Source organism: Homo sapiens, chromosome 3 (genome assembly GCF_000001405.40).
Source record: "Homo sapiens chromosome 3, GRCh38.p14 Primary Assembly".
Lineage (NCBI taxonomy): Eukaryota > Metazoa > Chordata > Mammalia > Primates > Hominidae > Homo > Homo sapiens.
In genome coordinates this window covers 59,902,205-59,926,204 of record NC_000003.12, presented here as the reverse complement: position 1 = coordinate 59,926,204, position 24,000 = coordinate 59,902,205, and the positions used below count along the sequence as shown (strand labels likewise).

The 24,000-nt window shown below is 40.2% G+C and overlaps 1 protein-coding gene and 1 long non-coding RNA gene across 11 annotated transcripts in view; one reads left to right on the top strand and one right to left on the bottom strand.

Moving 5' to 3' along the window:
- Positions 1-24,000, top strand: part of FHIT (fragile histidine triad diadenosine triphosphatase) — a 1,504,176-nt gene that overhangs the window by 1,325,248 nt on the left and 154,928 nt on the right. For 6 of the 8 annotated variants that reach the window (NR_135491.2, NM_001166243.3, NM_002012.4 and 3 more), the window contains one exon: positions 3,791-3,859. The exons of the other annotated variants lie outside the window; for them this stretch is intronic. Coding sequence is in view for 5 of the 6 variants with exons in the window: in NM_001166243.3 (NP_001159715.1) it covers positions 3,791-3,859 (69 nt within the window). In the remaining variant the exon portion in view is untranslated. The remainder of the gene's footprint in view (positions 1-3,790; positions 3,860-24,000) is intronic. 8 annotated transcript variants of the gene reach the window in all.
- Positions 4,609-24,000, bottom strand: part of LOC105377113 (uncharacterized) — a 70,563-nt gene continuing 51,171 nt past the window's right edge. For all 3 annotated transcript variants that reach the window (XR_007095936.1, XR_940887.4, XR_007095937.1), the window contains exon 3: positions 4,609-24,000. This exon is cut by the window's right edge and continues 23,224 nt beyond it. This is a non-coding gene — a long non-coding RNA (uncharacterized LOC105377113).

The window sequence follows — 24,000 nt, the reverse complement described above, 5'->3', positions numbered from 1 at the left end:
CAAGCATCTTTTGTGTGGAAATTCTCATACTTTAATGTGCTAATGAGCATTGTGAAATGTTATTTGACCATGAAAACATTTTTGGTGTGGAATGTGTCATGGGACTTTAAAAAGATACTCTTCTAGCTCAAGCAGCTCAACTGCAACCCCTAGCAAATTTGTGGAAGGCTTTTATTAAATAGATGTTTTGTTGGCACTTAGAAAAGTAAGTTGTGATCACCACAGCTTAATATGAAAGCAGTAAGAACAGATTATATCAAATTATCCTCATCTCTGCTATTCATAGCGTTTTTATCAGAATGTCATTCTATTAGAAGTCCATAGTGATGGTATTTTTTCACAGCAATGAGGCTTTGAGCTGGCTCTATCGTGATTTCCCTGTTCTGAGAAGCTGAGTGGGTTGTCAGCATCGTGTGATCAGCCTGTCACTTAAGAATTTATGTCACGATATCAGGGTGGGTTGAGATCTATGCCCTCGGGAAAAAACCACCTGTACAGTGAGCTATTTACGGTTTCAGTGTGTCACGGCGAATTTCAAGTGGTTACCAGTGATCAAGAGTGGCTTTTCTAGAACTTAGTGGTAACACAGCCTATAGAGATAGCCCTGAACTAAATCGAGAAGACGAGGGTAAAGAATAGTAGGCAGGGGATAGACCTGGACCCTGGAGGTTCCCAAGTGCAGGTTCGCAACCCCCCATATGTTAGTAGTGGATACTAACAGGCATATTCCTGAGGACCACGCAAGGAGAGTGGTCAGAGTGCAGAAAGCCAGAGAAGCATTCAGAAAGATGTCTCCACATACTGGACATAGTAGCTCACACCTATAATCTCAGCTACTTGGGAGGCTGAGGAGAGGGGATTGCTTGAGGCCAGGAGTTTGAGACCAGACTGGGCAACATAGTGAGAACTCCATTGCTAAAAATATGAAAAAAAGTTAGCTTGATGTGGTAGCATGCACCTGTAGTCCCAGCCATTTGGGAGGCTGAGGCAGGAGGATCTCTTGAGCCTGGGAGTTGAAGGCTGCAGTGAGCTATGATTGTATCACTGTACTCCAACCTGGGTGACAGAGTGAGATTCTGTGGGGAGAGAGAAAAGAAGGAAAGGAAGGGAAAAAAATAGGAAGGAGGGAAAGAAGAAGGAAAAGAAAAAAGAGAAAAGATAGAAGGAAAGAAGGAAAAAAAAGAGGAAAAAACAAGAAAAGAGACAAAGAGTCTACACATAATGCAGTAGGGCAGGCAAAACAGCAAGTGACCTCCGTGCCCACACTGGCAGAAGCAAGGTAAGAAACCAGGTGGATATTGTAAGCCAGTGGTTCTCAAAGTGTGGCATTAGACCAGCATCAGCTGGGAGCTTGTTAGAAATGCAGACTTTTAGGGCCCTGCAGTCTGCATTTTAATAAGCCCCAAGTACAGGTGGAAGATTGAGAATGGCTAGTCAAAGCAACAGAAATCAGCTTTCACAAAAGAGATGCTTGAACAATGCCCTCATTCAAGGAGCTTCTTAATATCTTTATTTTATTTTTTTGCTGGTGCAGAAATCAATCCCTGAATGTGATGTCTACTTGATCTTCAGGTTTAAATTTGTTTTTTTAAATAATAAAACTAATTCTTGTACAGTTCTAGGTAATGAGTACTAACTACATGCAAAGCTGAATGCTCAGCACATGGTTAGCAGACTTAATCCTCTTAACAACCCTGTGAGGTAGCAACCATTATAATCCCCATATAGATAAGATACTGACACATAGACTTTGTGAGACAAGGTCACACAGTTAGTTTGTGGTAGGTCCAGGATTTGTGTTAGGAAGTTTGACTGGAAGACACTGGTCTGGAACTTCCTAGAATGTATAAGGGAGATGATGAAAGATGGATGGATGGGAGGGAGGAAGAGGGGAAGAAAGGAGGAGGGGGACAGAAAGAAGAAAGGACAAAAAGAGGAGAAGAAGAAAGGATGGCAGGAGATTCTGGAATTAAAGAGTGAGTGAAGGCTCCTTCTAAGGGTTGTCTGTATCCTTGTTCTACGTTATTTTCCTGGTTTTGCTTTTAAGTCAGCCCATCTGGAGATTTCAGTAGATTTCAGCCCAGGCCCACCTGCCTGGCTTTCTCCTAAGAATTTGGTTTCATGGGTAGTTTGTGATTTATTTTTTCCTTGTTTGTTCTTTCACTTTCTCTCTCCATGCTCACGTAATCTTTGTGACTGAAGTGCACACTTGGCCCAATTGCTGAGAGATCCGTGACTGGCTTTATCATTGACTGGCGAATATTCTGGCAAAAGCGTGTCACTCTTTGGGAACTGTGCTCAGGGGCTGCTTTGAAGCTCCTCTCTGCTTCATTCACCTTGGACCACGTTGCACCCTGCCTCGGCTTTAATAGCGTGTCACTTTCCCCCTCCTTGTACAGCGAAGCCACAGGGACACTTAAATCTTACGTTCTCTTGAGGCCTTTTGGAGCCTCGGAACCCGATCGCAGTAATCAGGAAGGGGTGGGTGATCAGGGATGAGGTTTGACCCTCTGTCTGCCTCTCTCTATTTAAGCTCTTCATTTTCGCATTCCTCCCCACGGTTTGTAATAAAAGTGGAACATAGCTCAAGGGCAGAAATGAGGTTTAACTTCAGCCGAGGTACAATAGAGGCTATTTGGAAAGTAAAACTTTCAAATAGCAGTTTAGCTTTGAAGAATATATTGAATTAGATATGCTCTGAGCCCTGATTCACCATCATTGCATAATAGCATTGCTATGTATATTACCTGGGTGCTTTAGTAGACTAGAGAAATGGGCTATTTAAAAGATTAAGTTCGCAGAATCAGTGCATGTGCTAATGAAACACAGGAGCCAAAGCCAGGCAACCTCATTTCCGGTGCTGACTTTTACTTCCTGTGGCGCCCTGTCCTCACCGAACATTGATATCTTCTTCTGTAAAGTGGAGATCATAGTAGACCTTGCCTCACGGGATTTTTTTTTTTTTTTTTTTTTTTTTTTTTTTGAGGAGTCTCGCTCTGTCGCCCAGGCTGGAGTGCAGTGGCGCGATCTCAGCTCACTGCAAGCTCCGCCTCCTGGTTTCAGGCCATTCTCCCACCTCAGCCTCCTAAGTTTTTGTTTTTGTAGTTTTAGTAGAGACGGAGTTTCACCGTGTTGGCCAGGATGATCTCGATCTCCTGACCTCGTGATCCGCCCACCTCGGCCTCCCAAAGTGCTGGGATTACAGGCATGAGCCACCGTGCCCGGCCACCTCATAGGATTTTTAAGAGTACTAAATGAAGAATGCCAAACACAGAGCTTTCCTTATCATAGGAAATAAATGCTTACTAAATGAGAACTGTTTGTATTACTATTATATGATTATTTTTCGAAGCCCCAAGTCTGTAATTCTGCCCATACTACTTGCTACCTCATTCACTCGCTCTTTACTTATGCAGTTCTCTGTTAGCCAATTCTTATTTCTTGTCAGTTTCAGAGTCATGATGGTCACCTTTGAAGATGCACTGTCATTTCAAAGCACTGGCTAACTACAACCAAGACTGACAACCATGAATAATTCCACAGAGACTCTGAAACACTCTAGCATTTCGCACCAACTCTCATATATACCCCAAGTTGTTCTCTCTTGCTTAGTGCACTCTCTTCTCGGCAGATTTCAGGTATAGTTACCGAAGGTGGATATCAACTTCCTCTGAAAAATAACCCAGCAGGAACCATCGTGGAGTAATTGGGCTTCATGAGAGCATCACTGTCAAGTCTAAAAATACATGGGGAGATAATCACATTTTTTTTCTTTCTTGTACATTTTCAGCACGTTCACGTCCATGTTCTTCCCAGGAAGGCTGGAGACTTTCACAGGAATGACAGCATCTATGAGGAGGTGGGTCTGTTCTCTCTGATCTTATTGTTTGATCACGGGGACTGTCGGTGGGATGACATCAACCTAATGAATCAAGTATTACCCTAGATATGGTCTGAAATGGAATTCTATTTAGCCAGACTTGGAAAGTGGCAATAGAGGCCAAGGAGTCAAGAATGGCCATCGTGGGAACCCATGACTAATTAATTATAATGATTTTCTTTTTCAAATGAAAACCAGCAGAAACCAAGTGTCCTTGTGATTTCTATCCTGTCATTTACCAGGACAGTAAATATTTGCATGGAGATATGGCCCAGAATCTCCATAGAAGAAAACCTACAGTGCTACCACTGGAAATCAAGCAGATTGATATATGATTCTTTTAGTCAAATGCTACACTTAATTTTTAAAACACTTTGGAACTCAGCTTGTCTTTCCCAACAGCATTTATTCAAAGTGAAACTGTAAATTATCATGAGCAAAAACTAGGTTGGTTTGAGTAAGTGTAACTCACATATCATAAATATTAAAGCAGTTAATTTATTTCTAAGTACTCCCATTCAAAGATACAAGTGTGAAACCACTACAAACATGAACCAGCAAGAGCCAGGTGATCTGCGCCTAAAGCCCTGTCTACATGAGAACTTTCAGATGCCCATTTCCACCTTGTGGAGCATACAGCCTGTCATGGATCAGGCTGTTATAAGGTGATTTCAATTTACCTGTTTATTGTAGCCAAAGAGGAGAAAGTATGTCCCCCACACGGTAGAGCAGATTAGATAGCACTAGTGCCCTGGAGTGATTGGTTAAATGGACTTTGAGGCTGTTTGTGGATGCAAGGAAAAATGCTGTGATTGATTAGCAACGCCTGCCAAGGGCATTGGATAGGAGGTAGGTATCATATTTGCCGTCTTTTTGACATTCCTGTTCTAACTCTTTGAGAATGCTTTTTAAAACACATTGTTTATCTCGATTGTTTATCATGTGGCTCTATCAAATAAACCACATGATTATCTCTACCTTGTTTCCAGGGACCAGTTAAAATCTATGCATCTTTTTGTGTGTGTGTGTCTATAGGGCTTCTTTGCAGTGATGAAATTAAAACAGCAACTCAAACCCTGAAAATAAAGAACAATAGGTCAGCAGTTAATAATGAAACGTATAATTAATGTTTCTGGAACACATTGGATTCCGTGAGGTGGCTGGTTATTCTGCCTTTAGGATAACCCTTACTATCTTTTGCTTTGTATGTTTTCCAAGAGCTGTACTGGATGTGTGTAGAGTGGAAATAGTCTAGTCACCAGTCCCTAAGTGCTGATTTGTGGACCAGTTGCTGCAGGTCTCAATTCCCAGGAGGTCCCGTCGCTGGAGATTCTGATCAAGTAGATTGCACAGCACTCAGGAATCAGTCATTGTATAAGGAAATCCCCAGGAGACTCTGATGCATGACTACCTTTGGGAATAGGCTCTCTGGGTTTTACAAAGCCATTTTCTGTAAAACTATAATTTGAACTCATTTTCGTTGGATGTGGAATGCAGTTTGGGGATTGATAAGGGCTTAGTTCACATTGGAAGAAAATCAGAATTATAGAGTAATTATAAAGAGATGTAATTAAAATACAAATACCAATCTCACTAATGTAAACTAAGGTTAATGTTGCCAAATACGACTGTTTTAATGAATAAATTAGCACGTGAATTATATACTAGTAAATACTGCTAAAGTAGCATAAAAGTGCTTGAAAACACTGTTTCCTTAGGCTGAACAGTCACCTTGAAATCTTGTCGATGTTCCAACTGTGCTTAAAATGAAGCTGCATGGTTACTTTTCAGCCCAGTTCAAGACACAATGTACAGTGCTGTGGTTGGTGTATGGCCTCTCTCTCCTGTCTTATTCCTTTGCCCTTGTCTGCATGCTCTGATGGCCCCACAGAAAAGAAAACACATGTTTCTACTTCCCACATTTTGGAGGATCATCTCAGGAGAAGTAATTACTGTGAGAGTTTTTCTTTTTTTAAAAATCAGTGGTATAAGTCATATGTAGTATAGACAGTATCCACTAAGGGAAATTGTGGTACAAGACTATGTAGAGATTGAAGTCTAGAAACAGGCAGAAGTAAGTTCAAATCCCAGTGGCATCTACTAACCATATGATATTGTAGCCTGAAAGGCTTATTTCAGGGCTTGGTACTTACCAAGAATTTGTTAATAGATAGTAGTTTCTGTTCTTACTGTTATTATTACTATTTTTCTTTAAGTAGCAATGGTTAGTAAATAGAGAACCAGATTCAAAGCCAGGTCATTGGATGTTCCCATCTACCATTCTTTCCAAGGGTGAGATTCCCAATTTTCTCTTTGCCTTTAACCATTCATTCTCAGTTTTATCTTCCTCTTTGTATGGAAATGTTTCTCCAGGCTGAGTATCTAATAACACAGTGTCCAGAAAGAGGCATGAAAAGCATGCAGTACCGCACAGGCATTATTGGAATAGAACTTAATGTACATTAGACCAAATGATCTTAATCAGAAGCGATGGAGTGATGAGGGATGGCATTCTTTATATTGATGGGAGCACTTGCTCTAGATTATGCATCTGTTCAGGACATTCAACAAACAGACTGCCTTGGAGGGTGGGAGGTAGGAAACAGGAACAGCAGGAGACTGAGCTCCATAAAATGTAATTGTATTTCTACTGCTGCAGACATAGAAAATTATGCCTAAAGAAGCCCCAGAGTATAAATTGGCTAGGAACATTGTGTTCTTTCTAGGCACTGTTTTAAGATGGTTAGTGACAAATAAGAAGGTTCATAAGAAAGGTGGTTGGGTCTGAAAACAGATTTGGAGACTAATTGATGGTGGGAATGTTTTGCCTGGAAAAAGGAAGACTTGTAGAGGGAAGATAGTAACAGAGTCACTGTTTCCAAATATCTGAAGGGCTGGCAGGTGGAAAGATATTAAATACATTCTATGTGGCTCCAGAGGGCAGATCTGTGAGTATCGGACTACAAAGTGGCAGATATCATTAGCTCTCCATAATAACGGGTCAAAGTGAAAAAAAATGAACACTTAAAGAGTGCCTTCCAAGGGGGTGAGCTTCCCATCCCTGGATTCACTCAAGCACAGAGCACATGGCCACAATTCTTCAAGAGGATATCTACATTTGGTCAGTGCATGGGCCACTTGGATTTGTGGTGCCTCTCTTTACACATTTGACCCATTTGATCATTACCGCCATTTTCAGGTTTTACAAGTTCTGTAACAAATAGTGGGGGGTTTTTTGTGATCAGTATTGCAATGTTTGGGTGACTGCCTAGTGAAACATATTGTTTTCATTGTTAAGTTCATGGAAATAAAAGGTAAAACCTTTTCTTTTTAACTTAGAGGAAACCACACTGTATTTATTTTTTTCTCATTCCCAGCCTACTTCCTGCTTTTCCTGCAGCTCAGCATTGCATATTGATGGTCCTTGGGCTTTGCTTGCCTCTTCACATGTGTTTTATTTTTGCCTGCAAAGTATTTTTGGTGATTTGCTTTATTGTGACTGTAAAGTATTTTTTAATGAGTTTGAATGCTGTTAGGCATATTGCTCATTCTCTAGGCCTATACAGTTGCCACGACTGCCTTCTACCTAGGCTTGCTTCACTGGCTAATGGTGCATGCATAGCTCCTGAAGGCATTGGAGTTTAAGATCCTTGCCTATTTCATGGGCTGCTCCTCTTCTCTCTGCTACTCAAAGATTACTATTCCCCAGGATCTTCTGTCTGGTATACTGGGCATGCTGTTTAACTGAAACATCTGTTTAATCTCCCTGCCTATTCATTTACAGTGCTCTGGCCCCAGGTGAGTTTTTTTTGTTTTTTAACTTCAAGTTCTGGGATACATGTGCAGAACCTCCTCAAAGGGTCCTTTTCACTGTTCTCTGATTTCATCTGTAATAGTTAATCCTCTGTCCCCTCTAGAGTAACTCTACTATATCGCCATACCTATTTCCTTCTTAACACCTCCCACACTTGACATAATTTATTACTTTATTATTCAATACCTGCATCCCCCAATTATGTGTTACAGTCTTTAGGGCAGGGATCTAATCTGGCCTAGGGTGGACCTTCAGTGAATATTTGAAAATGAATGAACACATTTAAAAAAAAACAAGGTGTTGAACTAGAAGAACCTGAAATTCTCTGCTAGTTCTAACATAATTTAAAAGGAGACTATATATTGCTCTTCAGACGGTCAATTCACTAACTCATAGCCACACTGGGTGAGACTTCGACATGGTGCCATCAGCCATCTGAGGTGAATTTAATGGGGCATTGATGGAACAGAATCCTTTGGTCAGAAATCAGTGTGCAGAAGGCTACAAATTGTGGTACTCTGGAAAGGTTAGCGGAAGCAATTATAAACCTTGTCTGATTGCTAAGCAAGTCTGATAGGCACATGTCGAAGTTGATAACTAACTTGCCCCCTCCCACCAAACCTAGATTTGTGTGGTGGCTATAACAAATACAGATGTAGGATTTGCTGAAAGCAGGCTCGAGAGCTACTCTTCCTTTCTTTCCAATCTTGATTATCATCTCTAAGTTTGTTTTCACCTTCTGTTCCTCCAGCAGTATGTCTTAGACATTTCAGAGTATGAGCCTCTCTTCTGTCTCAAAACTGAGCTCAAACTCTCCCCCTTCCAAAGCAGATTGTCTGCTGAAGCTCTTCCTTTGTGGTTGTCTATGCAGATCTTATTTATCTGTAGCTCCCAAACTCTTTCTACATCTATGTTCTTTAAATTTTCATGAATTATGCCAAGCCTTCCCTGAACTCAATGGGCCCTTCATTATCTTGACAAGTTGATGAAGATTATGGTAATGACCCAAATGCGTCCTTAGATAAAAGAGTGTGTATAGCCAATGTGGGGGAGGAAACACCCATGGCCTAATGTCATATCATTTCATTAACTCAGTAAGACTTACCCTAGCTGTATCCCAAATAACCAACTCTCATAACTGTATTGGACAATTCATCAAATGCTTATGGGTGACATTGAATGGTTGTGACTGTGCACTGTATATAAAACCCATTACTGATGAAGGAAGTGACTATTACTAAAGCAAGTGGGAATAGCAATCAGCAATTGGACAAATTCAACCATGAATTTCATAGACAAAGCAACTGTGGGTTCAAGCATGTCATGGGAAACAATTGCTTGGCTTAACACAATTCATGAGCAAAATCAACTTGCTAAAATGCAGGCCATTTGGCCCTGAGGGCTGGAGAGAACCATTATATTGCTGATGATATTTGTTGTTGAACTTGGATCTCTTTCACACGGCATTTGACAATGGGCTCAGAGTCCATGGGTCCCTAGTTGACTTTTCAAAAAGGAAGGAATGTTTCAGTGAGACAGTTAATTAGCTTTTTGTCTTCTGGGTTTACTGATGTCCTCCCACTGAGTGGTAAGTTTCTGGGTATTTCAGAATTTTGGAATGAAAACTTTGGTGTCTCTCACTCAGAATAAGATAACAACTTGATATGTTCTTCTAAATTAATGGAGACTTTTTATTCAAAGAACCAGATGTGATAAAACTAACAAATAAGCATATAGTAATGCTAATTTAATGACCTATGACCTCAAATGCTCCCTCTGTATCTATGAATGCTCTTTGACTACCTATTTTAGTAATGAGAAAGCTGGGTAAGCATCTGGTTTACCCTATCCTATGTCAGATTATTACTGAGCTAAATCTCTATGTTCCTCAAAAGAGAGACACAAAATTAGCAGAAAAGCATTTATCTGGTTAAAAGTTATTTGTGCCCATTTTTCTCACAGAAACAAATATTCAGATAATATATGTATTAGTGTTCTCTAGCAGGACAGAACTAGTAGGATAGATGTATATATGAAGGAGAGTTTATTAAGGAGTATTGACTTACATGATCACAAGGTGAAGCCCCACAATAGGCCATCTGCAAGCGGAGGAGCAAGGAAGCCAGTCCGAGTCCCAAAATCTCAAAAGTAGGGAAGCTGACGGTGCAGCCTTCAGTCTGTTGCTGAAGGCCCGAGAGCCCCTGGCAAACCACTGGTATAAGTCCAAGAGACCATAAGCTGAAAAACTTGGAGTCCGATGTTCGAGGGCAGGAAGAATCCAGCACAGGGGAAAGATGAAGGCCGGAAAACTCAGCAAGTCAGCTCTTTCCACTTTCTGCCTGCTTTATTCTAGCCATGCTGACGGCTGATTAGATGGTGCCCACCAAGATTGAGGGTGGGTCTGCCTCTCCCAGTCCACTGACTCAAATGTTAATCTCCTTTGGCAATATCCTCATAGACACACCCAGTAACAATACTTTGCATCCTTCAGTCCAATCAAGTTGACACTCAATATTAACTGTCACAATATATGATTCAGGTTAGTCATTTTATTAACTCTTTTTTTTTTTTTTCCCTAAGAGACAGGGTCTCACTTTGTTGCCCAGGCTGGCCAGCAGTGGCCCAATCATAGCTCACTACAGCCTCAAACCCCGGGTCTCAAGTGATCCTCCTGCCTCAGCCTCCTGAGTGGCTAGGACTACAGGCACATACCACCACACCTGGCTAATGCTTTTGTAGAGACAGGTCTCGCAATGTTGTCCAGGCTGGTCTCAAACTCCTAGCCTCAAGCAATCCTCCTGGCTTGGCCTCCCAAAGTACTGGGATTATAGGCATGAGCCACTGTGCCCAGCCCAGGCTAGAGCTGAGCAAATGAGGAATGTTGAGAAGCATGGAGGGCTATAATGGTAGTGATGGTGAGCTGGAGCCTCCAAGGAAGATCATGAAGTCATTGGACACTAAAGAGGAAAAGTAATGAAAGAAGGCTGAAGAGTGCTTGATGAGGAGGATGCAGGTATCTACAGGTTGAGCTTCAAGGCAAAGGATGCCATGGCTTTTTCCTAGAGTTTGCTTTGAGGTAAGCCACCCTAGATTAGTTTCCCAAAATTGCTCTCCTATGTTGTTTGAATACGTTCAATCGCATGTTAGTGAGAAATAAGAAAAATTTAATCACGTGTCACTCTATCCATAGCATCCATAGTAAATCCACTCTATCAAACCACTCCATGTGGTCCTCTCTCATTATTTCACGAATCAGGCTTTCTTGTGCAGAGTCCTATCTGCCCTCCACAGTGAATTCTCGCTCCAACCAGATACATTCCATCAGAAAGCTCTAAGGTGCTTGCCGGTGAAGGAGGAAAATGCCTCCTCCGAGGTGTCCTTGTTGCTGGAGTCCATCTGTCTTCCTACCTGCTTCTCACAGTTCTGCTCTCAGTCTCACAGTGGCTGCTGCAATGAAACCTAAGTTTAACTACAGTGCTTGAATAATGGGCTGTTTCAGTGTTTAAAAAAATCTTAGGTTTACATTCAAGGTTCTTGACATAGCTATTAATAAACAGTCACTTAAAATTGTCCAAAAAGTTTTGATAAGTTTGGAGTTAACCTGCTAAAGCAAACTACCAAGACCTCAGTAGTTTTTCCAAATCTATTTTACTTAGAGAAATGAGAGTATAGGGATTAAGGATAGAAAAAAAAAAAGACTATTGGAAAAATAAATTATGATCAGAAATGGATAAACTAGGTAAAGATAAAACAGATATGAATTAAGCATTGACACGATTCCCTCAATATAAATTATAATGGCCCCAAAGTGAAAAGCCCCCAAACATTTAACTTTATCTCTCTTTTAATGAAGAAAATCAAAATAAGCAAGAATTAGGGGGAAACAGAAGATAAAAATTAATACAATTTTAAAGTCCCAAAGCATTTGTAAATGTTTTTATTTTTAAATTATCACCTGTCATTCTTTAGACAAAAGAATGATACACGTAATTCAAACAACCTGTATAAATAAATCCCGTAACCTCTTAGCTTGGAGCAAGGTTCATTCATGTGCCACATGCCAGCAGGAAGGAATCCTAAGGCCTCCAAGTTGCCTGCTTTTGGAGACATAGAGTCCTGGAAACATAGCCTGATGTTTAGAATCCCGGCTTGAGTGTTCAAATGTGGTTATATTTTTGTCACTGCGGGGTGACGTCTACCATTAATGTTCAATTTGGTAGCAGCTAGCCACCTGTGACCAGTCTGAATTGAGATGCGTTGTAAATGTAAAATCCAGTTTGGATTTCAAAGCCTTCTACCAAAAAAAAAGTAAATATCTCATTAATAATGTTTTATAATAGTTACATGTTGAAATAATATTTTGGTAATGTTGAGTTAAAAATTATATCACTAAAATTAATTTCACCTGTTTCTTTGTACTTGTTTTGGTGTTGCTACCAAACACTTTTAATAACATATGTATCATGCATTAGATTTCTTCTGGATGGTTTTGCTCTAGAATGCTTTCAAACTGCTTCAGCTTACTGGCAAGCAGCTGTTTGTGGAGACTGTTATGACCTTCCCCAGATTTAGAATAGGAATTTGAATGATGCCAGATTTTCTTTCTAATCAAGGAAATCAAGAAATAGCTGGTATACCTGTGTAGCTCTAAATTCTCTCCACCTTGAGTCAACATAGTGGTTTATTGCAAACTGTTTAATGTTTAACTTGCTATTTAAATCTCAGTATCTTATGTTTCCCATATTTAAAATGGGGGAAAAATACCCAATCATACTGGGCTTCTAGTGTAAGGTTAGTGGTCATAAACAACTATAGTTCGCAGTCTTTGCTCCTAGGGAGAGCACTAATGAAAAATAATAATATAATACAATTATTATTGTCATTGAGAATACACTGAGACTAGTAATACATCTATTTTAAATAAATGTAATATTTGAGAATAATAATCAAATTATTACTGTCAATGAGAATACACATTGGGCTGGACTGTCTGCTAGGTGCCAAGCATATCATTCATACCATTGAATTGAAACTAAATTTGCAGAGAGTAAATATCTATGTCAAAACCTCATAACCAGCTCATGGCAAAGCTTGTTTATATCAAAGTCTGTTTGACTACAAAGCCGTCCCTGTTTCTATCACCCTTTGCTTTAGCCTAAGGAAAATATTATCCTTCAATTTTATGGAAAACCCATGTATAGGGAGAAAAGCGATTTTCTTAGACACTGGGACTTCCAGTACTAAATCCCAAATGGTTTTCATATCCCTGTTCAACCTTAGAGACATTTACACACACACCCACACACGACACACAACACACACACTGGATTTCCAATAAATTTATAAGTCCTAGACACACTACCAGTAATTTAGACTTACAGTGAAAGAAATGACATTTTACAAAGTCAGGAATTTTCTCTGCTTTTAGGATATGGCCCAGTAGTCCCCATCTAGGTACTTTATTATAACTCCTTTTTATAGTTTTTGTTAAACACAAGGAAGTCATCAACATGCTCTAGCCAAGCTTCTAAAATTCCCAAGGTCATCCTTTTGGAGCTGGTTTTGTGTGCTGAACCACTTAAATACTTTTGCTTGCCCTATAGTGTATTCATGTCATAACACACTAAAATATTTAAGAGAAAATTGCTTTTTTTCTGAAAAAGAAACAGTCTTGCTTACAACTCTTAATGGACCATAAATATCTTGTAGGCCAGTTGCACCAGTACCTGCTGGAAATCCTTCTTACATTAGTGGTAACTAAGGAACTCATAGAATATTCCCTTTGCACGGAAATGTAACCTTGCTCCAACATATATTTTCCCTCTAAAAAATTGTTTCTTCTAGTAAGCTCTTCAGAGTTATTGAAAGAACATTGCACAGTTAGGTCAAATCTATATATGAAATTTCACTGGCTTCTCTGTTAATCTTGGCCCTATCAGTTGATATGAAGACTGAGGCTGAATTTCCTTTTAGCGACTCTAAAAAATTGTTTCTCTTAGTAAGCTCTTCAGAGTTATTGAAAGGACATTGCACATTTAGGTCAAATCTATATATGAAATTTCAGCTGGCTTCTCTGGTAATCTTGACCCTATCAGTTGATATTGAAGACTGAGGCTGAATTTCCTTTTCGTGACCTGGAATAAACAACTGCACTTGTTTTCCTAAATTATTTTCCATCCACATGCGGTGTCTACCATTTACCTTCTTTCCCTGGGGCATTGGGCTAGTTTCATCTATTGGTGATCTGGGATAAGGCTGAATTGGACTCCTTGAAAGAGGCTGGAAACAAAATTTTCATTAGTTGGAGATACCTCAAATGTGGAGGGAGACTGTGATATGATAATGACATTAGCATACTGATGAGTTAGTAGATACAATGAAGTGCTCATTTGGGCATTAAGGTACATTTATCTCCATCATGTGTAGAAACGGAGGCATAGGCAGACTTGAAAACTTTTCTGAGGACACAGAGAGAGTAAGAAACAGACCTGAGATTCATACTTAGGCTGTCTGGCTCCAGAGTCTGGGTTCTTTTCTCTCTGCTGCCTTTATGAACTACCAGAGGCATCTTACTCATCTTCATCGTCTCTGCCTCCCGGCACCCAAAAAATACCACTTCATAATAGAGTAGGTTGTCAAGAAATGACTGTTGAGCTGAACCTGGCACTTCCCCAGCCCCCTGCATTCAAAGCCTGGTTCTCCGAATCCTCAGGTCCGTGGCTTTCCTTTATCAGCTGCAAGTCTCCCCACTTCTTGGGCACTGCCTGCCTCCTGTCAAAACCTCCCCCTGAGAAAGAACTTTTACCTCAGTTATTACAATAGTAGTTCAAATTGTTGTCCTTCCTGAGATGCCAAGGTATTTTTTCAAACCAACAAAGCCTGCTGAGAAAAGAATGGGATTTTAAAGCTGGAATATGAGGCTTAGTCTAGAGGCACAGTGGAACTTTGTGGGTAACTCCAGAATCAAATCACCAAGGCCAGCTCTGTCCCCTGTACCCGTTTCTGGAATCTCCCTGAAAATTAGCTTGATAAATTGCTCCCCTAAAAGGCCCACCAGTACTCTCCAAGATAGACAATCCAAAATAGGCTGGTCAACACACACCTTCATGTATGGAACTGTGTCTACACCCAACCCAGAGAATACCAGGCATTTCTGTGTCATCCCCTCTACGTTCAAAATGCTCTTACCTGCATTATGGTTCCAGTTTACATCAGAGTGTGTGTGAGTGTGTGTCTATAAAACTTGGACAACTGATCTAATTAATTTGAAAAATCTAAACCTGGGAAACAATTTAAATGCCAAATAATAGAGGAATATATTTAATACTATATATTCATCTATGTAGCCATCAAATGAGTTTTTATGAATAATATTAATGATATAACACTGTACACAAATAATCAGACCAAGAATAATAAAGCAAATTAGTCCTACCATGATTTATCATTAGTAAAAATGGGAAACTGGAGAGAGAAAAGTTATATTTCAAAAACTGTAGTATACCTGTTGTTAGATTCTAGTCTTGCCTGTTTTTATTATTTTCTGTGGTTTGGAATGAATTCTAATTTTTCTGGGCTACAAGTCTGCAAAACAATGTTTTCAATTTTTTTTCCTTCTTTTTTTTCCCATCTTTCCTAATTTGGAGTCACCAAAAACTAAGCTGTGCTTTCGTAAAGCCAAGTGAACTGAAGCTAGACAACGGAAACTTCAGAAAAAGATAACAGCAACCTATTTACATACATAAGCCACTTTCATACCTGCCTACTGATGTATGGACTTCAGAGTAATATGGCCTATATGGATTTTACAGGCTTGTTCTTTTGTTTGTTGTTGTTGTTTTTTCCTTCCTCCCCCTATTTTTTCTTTATAGAACATGAGACTTACAACCTGCTAAAAATGAACATACCTAATAACTCAAGACCTACCCATCTAGGAATAAGCCATCCTAGCCATGAGAGATGAGACAAAACCTGAGACCAGAGACTCATTTTCTTCTAAAATGCTTCCTCCAAAAGATTTTTTCAAAGAGAAGGGGGGGAAATGTGAAAGGAAATCTTGGGGCCCCCAAATCACTAAGCTACAGGGAAAAGTCAAGCTGGGAGCTGCTTAGGGGCAACCTGCCTCCCATTCTATTAAAAGTCACCCCTCTGCTCACTGAGATAAATGCATATCTGATTGCCTCCTTTGGAGAGGCTAGTCAGAAACTCAGAAGAATGCAACCATGTGTCTCCTATCTACCTATGCCCTGGAAGCTCCCTCCCCACTTAGAGTCTTCTTGCCTTTGCTTCAAGTTGTCCCATCTTTCCAGAATGAACCATTGCTCATCTTATGTATGTTGATTGATGCCTCATGTCTCCCTAAAATGTATAAAACCAAACTGTGCTCTGATCACCTTGGGCACATGTCCTCAGAACCTCCTGAGGCTGTGTCACAGGTGCACCTCCTCAGCCTTGGCAAAATAAGCTTTCTAAATTCACTGGGAAAAAATACATTGGGATATAATATTGAATGGAAAGAGTGGCATATAAATGGAGAATGGAATGGAAGCACATGTACCTTGAAATTAAGAGAGATTGTAGCTTCAAATAGAATGTTACACTCCTGTTCCTTTCTTCATATTCTCTTGCATTTCCCAAACATAATATAATGAGTATGCAATAATTTGATAATGTGAAGGAAACATCAGGGGTCACTTTTTAAGAGCAGACATCCTGTGTTCTTTTTCATTCATTGGCAGAAGCCAATATTTACTGGCAGTTGTTTGGTGAACCTAGTGAAAAAAATTGACTTTAGTTTTGATCAAAACCTCATGGGAAATACATGTGTGTGTGAGCTAGCTAAGTAGCTGAAACACCCAAAGAGGTGACTTTTTTGGTATTTCTACTCTTTGACTTGTTAGAAAAAAAAATAAAGATACTCCCTGGGATAGAGGCGGACGGATCACTTGAGGTCAGGAGTTTGAGACCAGCCTGGCCAACGTGGTGAAACCCCGTCTCTACTAAAAATACAAAAATTAGCCAGGTGTGGTGGTGCGTGCCCATAATCGCATGTACACAGGAGGCTGAGGCAGGAGAATCACTTGAACCCCAGAGGAGGAGGTTGCAGTGAGCTGAGATCATGCCACTGCATTCTAGCCTGGGTGACAGAGCCAGACTCCACCTAAAAAAATAAAAAGTAGGGCCGGGCGCAGTGGCTCATGCGAGTAATCCCAGCCCTTTGGGAGGCCAAGGCAGGCGGATCATGAGATCAGGAGTTCCAGATCAGCCTGGCCAGCATGGTGAAGCCTCATCTCTACTAAAAATACAAAAAATTAGCTGGGTCGATGGTGCGTGCCTATAGTGCCAGCTACTCAGGAGGCTGAGGCAGGAGAATTGTTTGAACACGGCAGGTGGAGTTTGCACTGAGCCGAGACTGTGCCACTGCATTCCATCCTGGGTGACAGAGCGAGACTCTGTCTCAAAAAAATAAAAAGGAATATAAATAAATAAAAATAAACTAGCCAGTTGTGCTGATGTGATAGTCTACAGTTTTATATTCCCATTTGTTTTGTCTTGTCTCCAGTTTCTTCTCAATCACCAAGTCAACTCTTGCTGTGTCTGAGGTTCATTTGAGTGCCAAGTATAACAATGATTACTTTCACAGTCACCAGTTGGACTATTAAAAAATGAAATGTTCTTGACTCCCAAAGTTCAGTTGAATTTCTGGCTGTGAAAGCAAACCATCTCATCAGCCCTGGGCCAGGTTTTGCTCAGCAAGTTCAGTGCCGTTTCTGTCAGTTCAGGCCTGTAATTCATTCAGTCATATTCTGGCTTATAATCTCTCAATTCAGATTCTGTATTCTGGGGCCTTAATGAGCAACATGTCGTGTGGGGTAGGCAGGGATTCTGTTGTCCTTGGCTGTTGTTTCCTTGGCCTCTGGTGTCCAAGTAATCCACTTTGCCTGGTCCTTGTGTGCATCTTTGGTCCATTCTGATACCCGTAAGGAATGCCATCATTCTTTGCAGGATGGTGACCTTTGGCCTCCTACATTCCTAGAGGTGTCCATGGTCCTGACATAGTCTCTTGTCACAAGCACATGAAGGACACTTACTCTTTGGCCTTTGCCAGCTTGTCAGAGTTCTTCTCATGGGCTCAAAAAAAACTTGTCTGTTCTTACATACTTTGCTAAGACCTGCAGGAAATTAGGTGCCTCCAGCAGACATTCATGTTGCTGCTATAGTCCTTCATTATTCTCTTTGCAAAGCTGTGTACTACCAGAATTCTGGATGGAAAAAGCTGAATGCACATTCAATCTACTCTTAGAGTCTCAAATTCAAAGGGATGGCTTGCAGTGAGTCAGCTGTGGAAGACCAAATAATAGCCTCCCAAATGGTGCCTATGTACCAATCTTTCAGAACCTGTAAATATGTTAGATGGTAAAAGAGAATTAAAGTAGAAGATTCAATTAGAGGCTAGTCAGCCAACTTTAAGATAAGGAGATGACCTTGGATTATCCAAGTGGACTCAATATAATCACAGAGGTGGAAGAGAGAGGCAAAATAAGTAGTGTCAGAGTGATGCAATATGAGAAAGATTCAACTGGCCATCAATGGCCTTAAAGATGGAATTGAGCCATAAGCCAGGGAATTCAGGCAGCCTCTAGAAGCTGGAAAAGGCAAAGAGCCTCCAAAAAGGAATGCAGACTGGCCAACACCTGAATTTTAACCCATTACACCCATTTTGGACATCTGACCTCCAGTGCTGTAAGATAATACATTTGTGTTGTTTTAAGCCACTGAGTTTGTGGAAATTTGTTATAGTAGCAAATAGAAAACTCATATATTACCCAACCTCAGGATTCAGCCTGGGGGTTGGGGAAAAGGCAAGGGTAGAGCACACCCTGCCCCAGTGCACACATGCACACACATGCATGCACGTGCCCACTCATGTACACATGCACTCTTTCTTGCTTTATCTCTCTTGACTCTGTCCATTATCCAGCTTGAAACTCTATTTTAAACTCTGGGGGTGGGCAGTTAGAACTCTTCTGTGTCCTTATCCCTGCATGAATCATTTCTCTCTCACACTGGGGCAGCGCCTTTTGAATTAAAGGCTAAGCTGGTGAGTGAAGGAGACTACTGCTAAGCAATAGATGCACTTCCCTTTAGCCAAGAGATGGTCAGGAAGGAAATGGCACACCAGTGATTACTTTGAAATATTAGCCTGCTACACATGGGTAAGAAATTAGTGACAGTAACTGTGCTACAAAGTTGAAACCGCTAAGTAACATGGGATGGTGGTCTCTGATAAAGGGCCATGGAAGTGTGGGGAAGGAAGTGACCACCTGATATGGGGCCATCAGAAAGGCTTCCTATCGAGGTTCAACTCCTGTCCCTGTGGCTAATGAGACTATGGGCAGTTCCCTCTGCCTGAGGCTCAGTTTCCCTTCAAACTGAGAGGTATTCATCATGGTCACCTGTAAGCCTGCTTTCAGCTCTGATACTTTGTGATTCTATGACACTAAATAGTTCAATTGAGAAAGAATCACTTGCCCTGAGAACTCCTTTCCTTTGATTTCCACGTGGAGGTCACATTAGCATAGCAGAAAGGGTATTGACACTGCAGCTGACTTTTAAAATTCACTGAGAATAGGAGATAAAATGAAAACACACCAGATGGAATGTGAGCTCCCTACTATTTCAAAACTTAGACATTTCCACTAAATGTTGGCACAAACTTAAATATCATCTTGAATGCTATTTACAGTTTTCAAAGTGACAACAATAGCATCATTCAAAAGAAGGAAAGACTATGTGAAGAGAGATCCTAATATCTTTGGAAATTTTTTATGGATGGAAATTTTAAGAGAATAATTAATCAGATACGAAAACAATAGGCTGGGAAAATCACGCAGGCCATTGAGATCCATCTGTAACTCCACCACTAAATGCCTAGATTTCCAGGAACCAACTCCACAGAAGCAGTATGAATTTGGCTCATTTCATGCAGATTTGCTAAATAGGTTTCAATGTTTTTAATTTTTAGGGGTCTACATGCTGTGGTTCTGGATCCACTTTGTGTTACAGACTCCTCTGAAAGCTTTGCCATAAACTGGCAACTTCCTAATGAGGGAAATTTTTAATATATTTACACAGATAGCTTAAAAATGCATTTAATTTTAGGATTTTTAAGGGCCACATTAAGAAGCCCCAACTTGAAAAGAATGCCCTTGAAGTCTAGGAAATTACAAAGACTGATTTTATGCAAGAAGTTTTATAAACACACACACAATCAAAAAATAGTTTTCATGTCCTTGGGGCTATGGTGTCCATTCAAGCTCCAGCTCTCTGTATTCAAGAGCATTGTACTGTCCAGTTATTCTCATAGAGCAAATGCCAGAGACACGCAATGCCAGAATACACAAGGAGGAAGGGGTCTTTTGAAAAGGAAAGATCCATTAGACAGGATAGTGAACTTCATTAGGGAGCCAATAATTGAACATGTCTGATGCCTGAATCTCTTATCTTTTTAATGAAAAGTCCAGTCCCAGAATCACACAGTACCTTCCAGAAAACAGGCCATACAGTTTTACAAAGCACTGTTATTTGCATTTCTGAGGGGTTTTTTTTGTAAATTGACTTAATTTCCAATGCATTATGATTATATAATATCATTCAAGTATAGAAACTTACCTATGATACATCTTTTTGAGGTGCTAAATGTCTTTAAGCTGTGAACGTTGACGTTTTTGTTCTTCTGTCACAGGAGGAAGTTACGTATTCGGGTTTTCTATTCTTTTATAGGCTTTTCTGGATTTTAAGTGCAAGATGACTCACTGTGGCTTTATAATATCTAAGAGACAGCTTAAAATTAAAAAATTTTTAAGTCTCATAGAGTCTATTGACTCCACAGTGGTTGAAACAAAACCATTTTTTAAAATCTGAGTTTATTGTTACCATCATTTGTTCATATTTAATTAAATTTTATATGCCTCATCCCTCCTGCACACACCTATAAAAGGCTTACTACGTGAGAGGCACTAGGTTAGGTTTATACAGACATACGAATTCAAGGGATGAGTTGCTCAAACTTAATTTATCTGATAACAGAGTGCATGCCCTTCTACCATAAAATGTTCCCCTATTCTGACCCCTGGTCTTACTGGTATCACCCCCATTCTGAAAAATCCAGGCTAGAAACTTTGGGTCATCTCCAGTTTATTCTTGAAGTTCGTCCTCTGTATGCTGTCATTCTCTAGTTCTATCAATTCTTTTTTCCTGCCAAGCCCCTGTCATAATTATTGCTATTCTTGGCTGGGCTGAAGTTCTGGGATTGTACTCCCCAGGGTTTTCTGGGGCTTCACCAAGGTTTCCAAATTGATAGCAACAGGAGGCAGGCAAATGCCTAGGCAGATAGGGGTGGGTCCCCAGTGAAACCCCACCTCAAGTGGAAGAGAGTTTAAAGCCTGAAAGCCAAGCTACAAGTTAAATCCTCAGACTGGATTGAGAATTTCCCTTTCTGTTTGGTAAGCTCTCCTCTGATTGGTCCCCACCCTTCACCTGTTTTACATATACCTGCGCTTTCCTAATTGGTTTTCTACACTGTTGTGCCCACCTTTGAGTGGTGTCTTTGCTTTAGACTTATTTGCAGACTCACAAACAAATCAGCAGGCACTTCCCATTCTAAGTCTGGAAAAGGCCCCAGGCCCAGCCACACAGGGGAACTTTCTCACCTTCAGGTAGGGAGACCAAATCCATATCCCCTCTTCGCTAAAAACTGTTTTCGTCACTCAGTAAAATTCTTCCCTGCCCTCCTCACCCTTCAATGTCCAGTGTATCCTCATTCTTCTTGGGCATGGTACAAGAGCTCAGGGAACCACCAAACACGGGTACAAGCTATAACACAAGAAGCTGGAGCACACCAGCATGGCCAAGCAAGGCCTGGTACGGGCATCACTGGCCAGGGGTTCCCAGCTTGCAAAGTGACTGAGAAGAAAAATCCTACATCAAAATCATGACTTCAGTCTACTTGTCTCCTGATTGTGGGGAATATTGAAGGGAAATCCCATAATTTTGTCAACTCAAATACTTTCTCCAATCTGTTTCTGACAGTTGAGGTGGAAGATTTTGATGCAACTTCAAATTGCATGAAAATCATCTCCTATTTGCTTTTTCACCTTCCCTCGCTCCTTCCTGCCTTCCTTTTTTTTTTTTTAATTAGTTTCCTCTTTTGAATTTTATGGCACAAGTTTGTGCTTAATTCCTTATTTAGAGCTTACTGGTAAATTTCCCTTTTTTTTTTTTAACCATGATTTTATGGTTATTATTGTTCCTTTTGTTAGGTGTTGATGAAGGAGGAAGGGAGATTTTTTTTCTTCTGTATTCTGTCACCTTTATCATAAAGAAATAGCCCCTTTAGAACAACTGGCTGTCCGGGGGCGGGGGGGTGTGGGGGAGAAAAAAAAAGAAGTAGCCACTATTTTGTGCTATTTCTTTCCTATTTCCATTCTTATTATCTTTCTTCAGGCCCTAACTAACTCATACTTCCTGGGTTCTGATTTCAGCCAGTCCCTTTTGTACCACATAAACTGGCAGGATGGCTTTCCTTAAATTCAGTTCCTGACATTCCAAAGCTGGAGGAAGCCCAAACATCTTGGCCTATGCTTCCAAGACCCTTGGAAATCTAACTTTGCCTTCTCTTCAACTTATCCCTTGCATTCATGAGCCATTTGCTTAATCGAATTGCCTCCTTATGGCTCTCACAGGGAACCAAATTATTCCCACCTTTTCACTTTCAGATTGCTGCCTTTGGTGATTTCTCCTTTGCCTCCTCCTTTATTCTGTTTAAACTTCTCGAGGGCTTTTCTAACTACTCCAGGCTACAATAATCCTCCTCTTCTAGACCTCACCACACATATGTTTGAGTATTTTAATTCTCAGAATAACAGGGGTGAAAAGTCTCTAGAAAAACCGACTGCATTTTTAAAATGCAGGTGAATGAATGATAACCGTAGTGACCATTTTTATTTCTTCCTTTGTCTCAGACATGAAGCTAAGAACTTTCCATATAGTAACAGCTTTATTTAGATACAATTAAAATACCATACAGTTCACCCATTTAAAATGTACAATTCAGTGATTTCAGGTATATTCAGAGTTGTGTAACTGTCACTACAATCTAATTCCAGAATAATTTCATCACCCCCAAAAGAAACCCTGTGCCTATTAGCTGTCACTCCCCATTCCTCCCCTTCCATAACCCTGGAAACTACTAATCTACTTTCTGTCTCTATTTGCCTGTTATGGACATTTCATATAAATGGCATCATACATTATGTGGTGGTGTGTGCCACTGTCTTTTCCATTTACCATAAAGTTTTCAAGGGTCACCCATCTTTTGGCATGTATCCGCACTTCATTTCTTTTTTTACAGCTTGATTAAGGTATGATTCACAAAAATTATATATATTTAAGATATACTGTGTGATGATTTAACATACGTATACATTGTGATATGGTTACCACAACCAAGCTAATTAACATATCCTTTACCTCACGTAGTTACCTTTTGTGTGTGTGCATGGTGAGAGCAGTAAAGATCTACTCTCTCAGCAAATTTCAAGTATACAATATATTATCATTAGCCTTAGTCACCATGCCAGACATTAGAGTGCCAGCACTTACTTATCTTATAACTGAAAGTTTGTACCCTTGACCAGATTATTCCCATTTCCCCCATGCCTGGCCCTTGGTAACTACTATTCCATGCTCTGTTTCTAACAGTTTGAATATTTTAGGTTACACATCTAAGTAAGATCATGCAGTAGTTTTCTTTCTGTGTCTGGCTTATTCCACTTGGCATAATGTCTTCTAGTTTTATCATGTTTTTGCGAATGGCAGGATTTTCTTTCCTTCTTTTTAAAGAGTAAATCGTATTCCATTATTGATATATACATCGCATGTCTGTATTTATCTGTCAGTGGATACTTAGGTTGATGCCATGTCTTGGTGGTTTTGAATAATGCTACGATGAACATGTGAGTGGAGATATCTCTTTTGGATGGGGGATTTCAGTTCCTTTGGTTCTATATCCAGGAGTGGGATTACTAGATCATATGGTATTCTATTTTTAATTTTTGAGGAAACTCTGTACTCTTTTCCATAATGGCTGTACAAGTTTACATTTCTACCAAGAAGGGTTCCCTTTTCTACACACCCTCAGCAATACTTGTTATCTTTTGACTTTTTGATAATGGCCATCCTAACACGTGTGAGATGATACCTCACTGTGGTTTTTATTTCCATTTCCCTGAAGATTAGTGATATT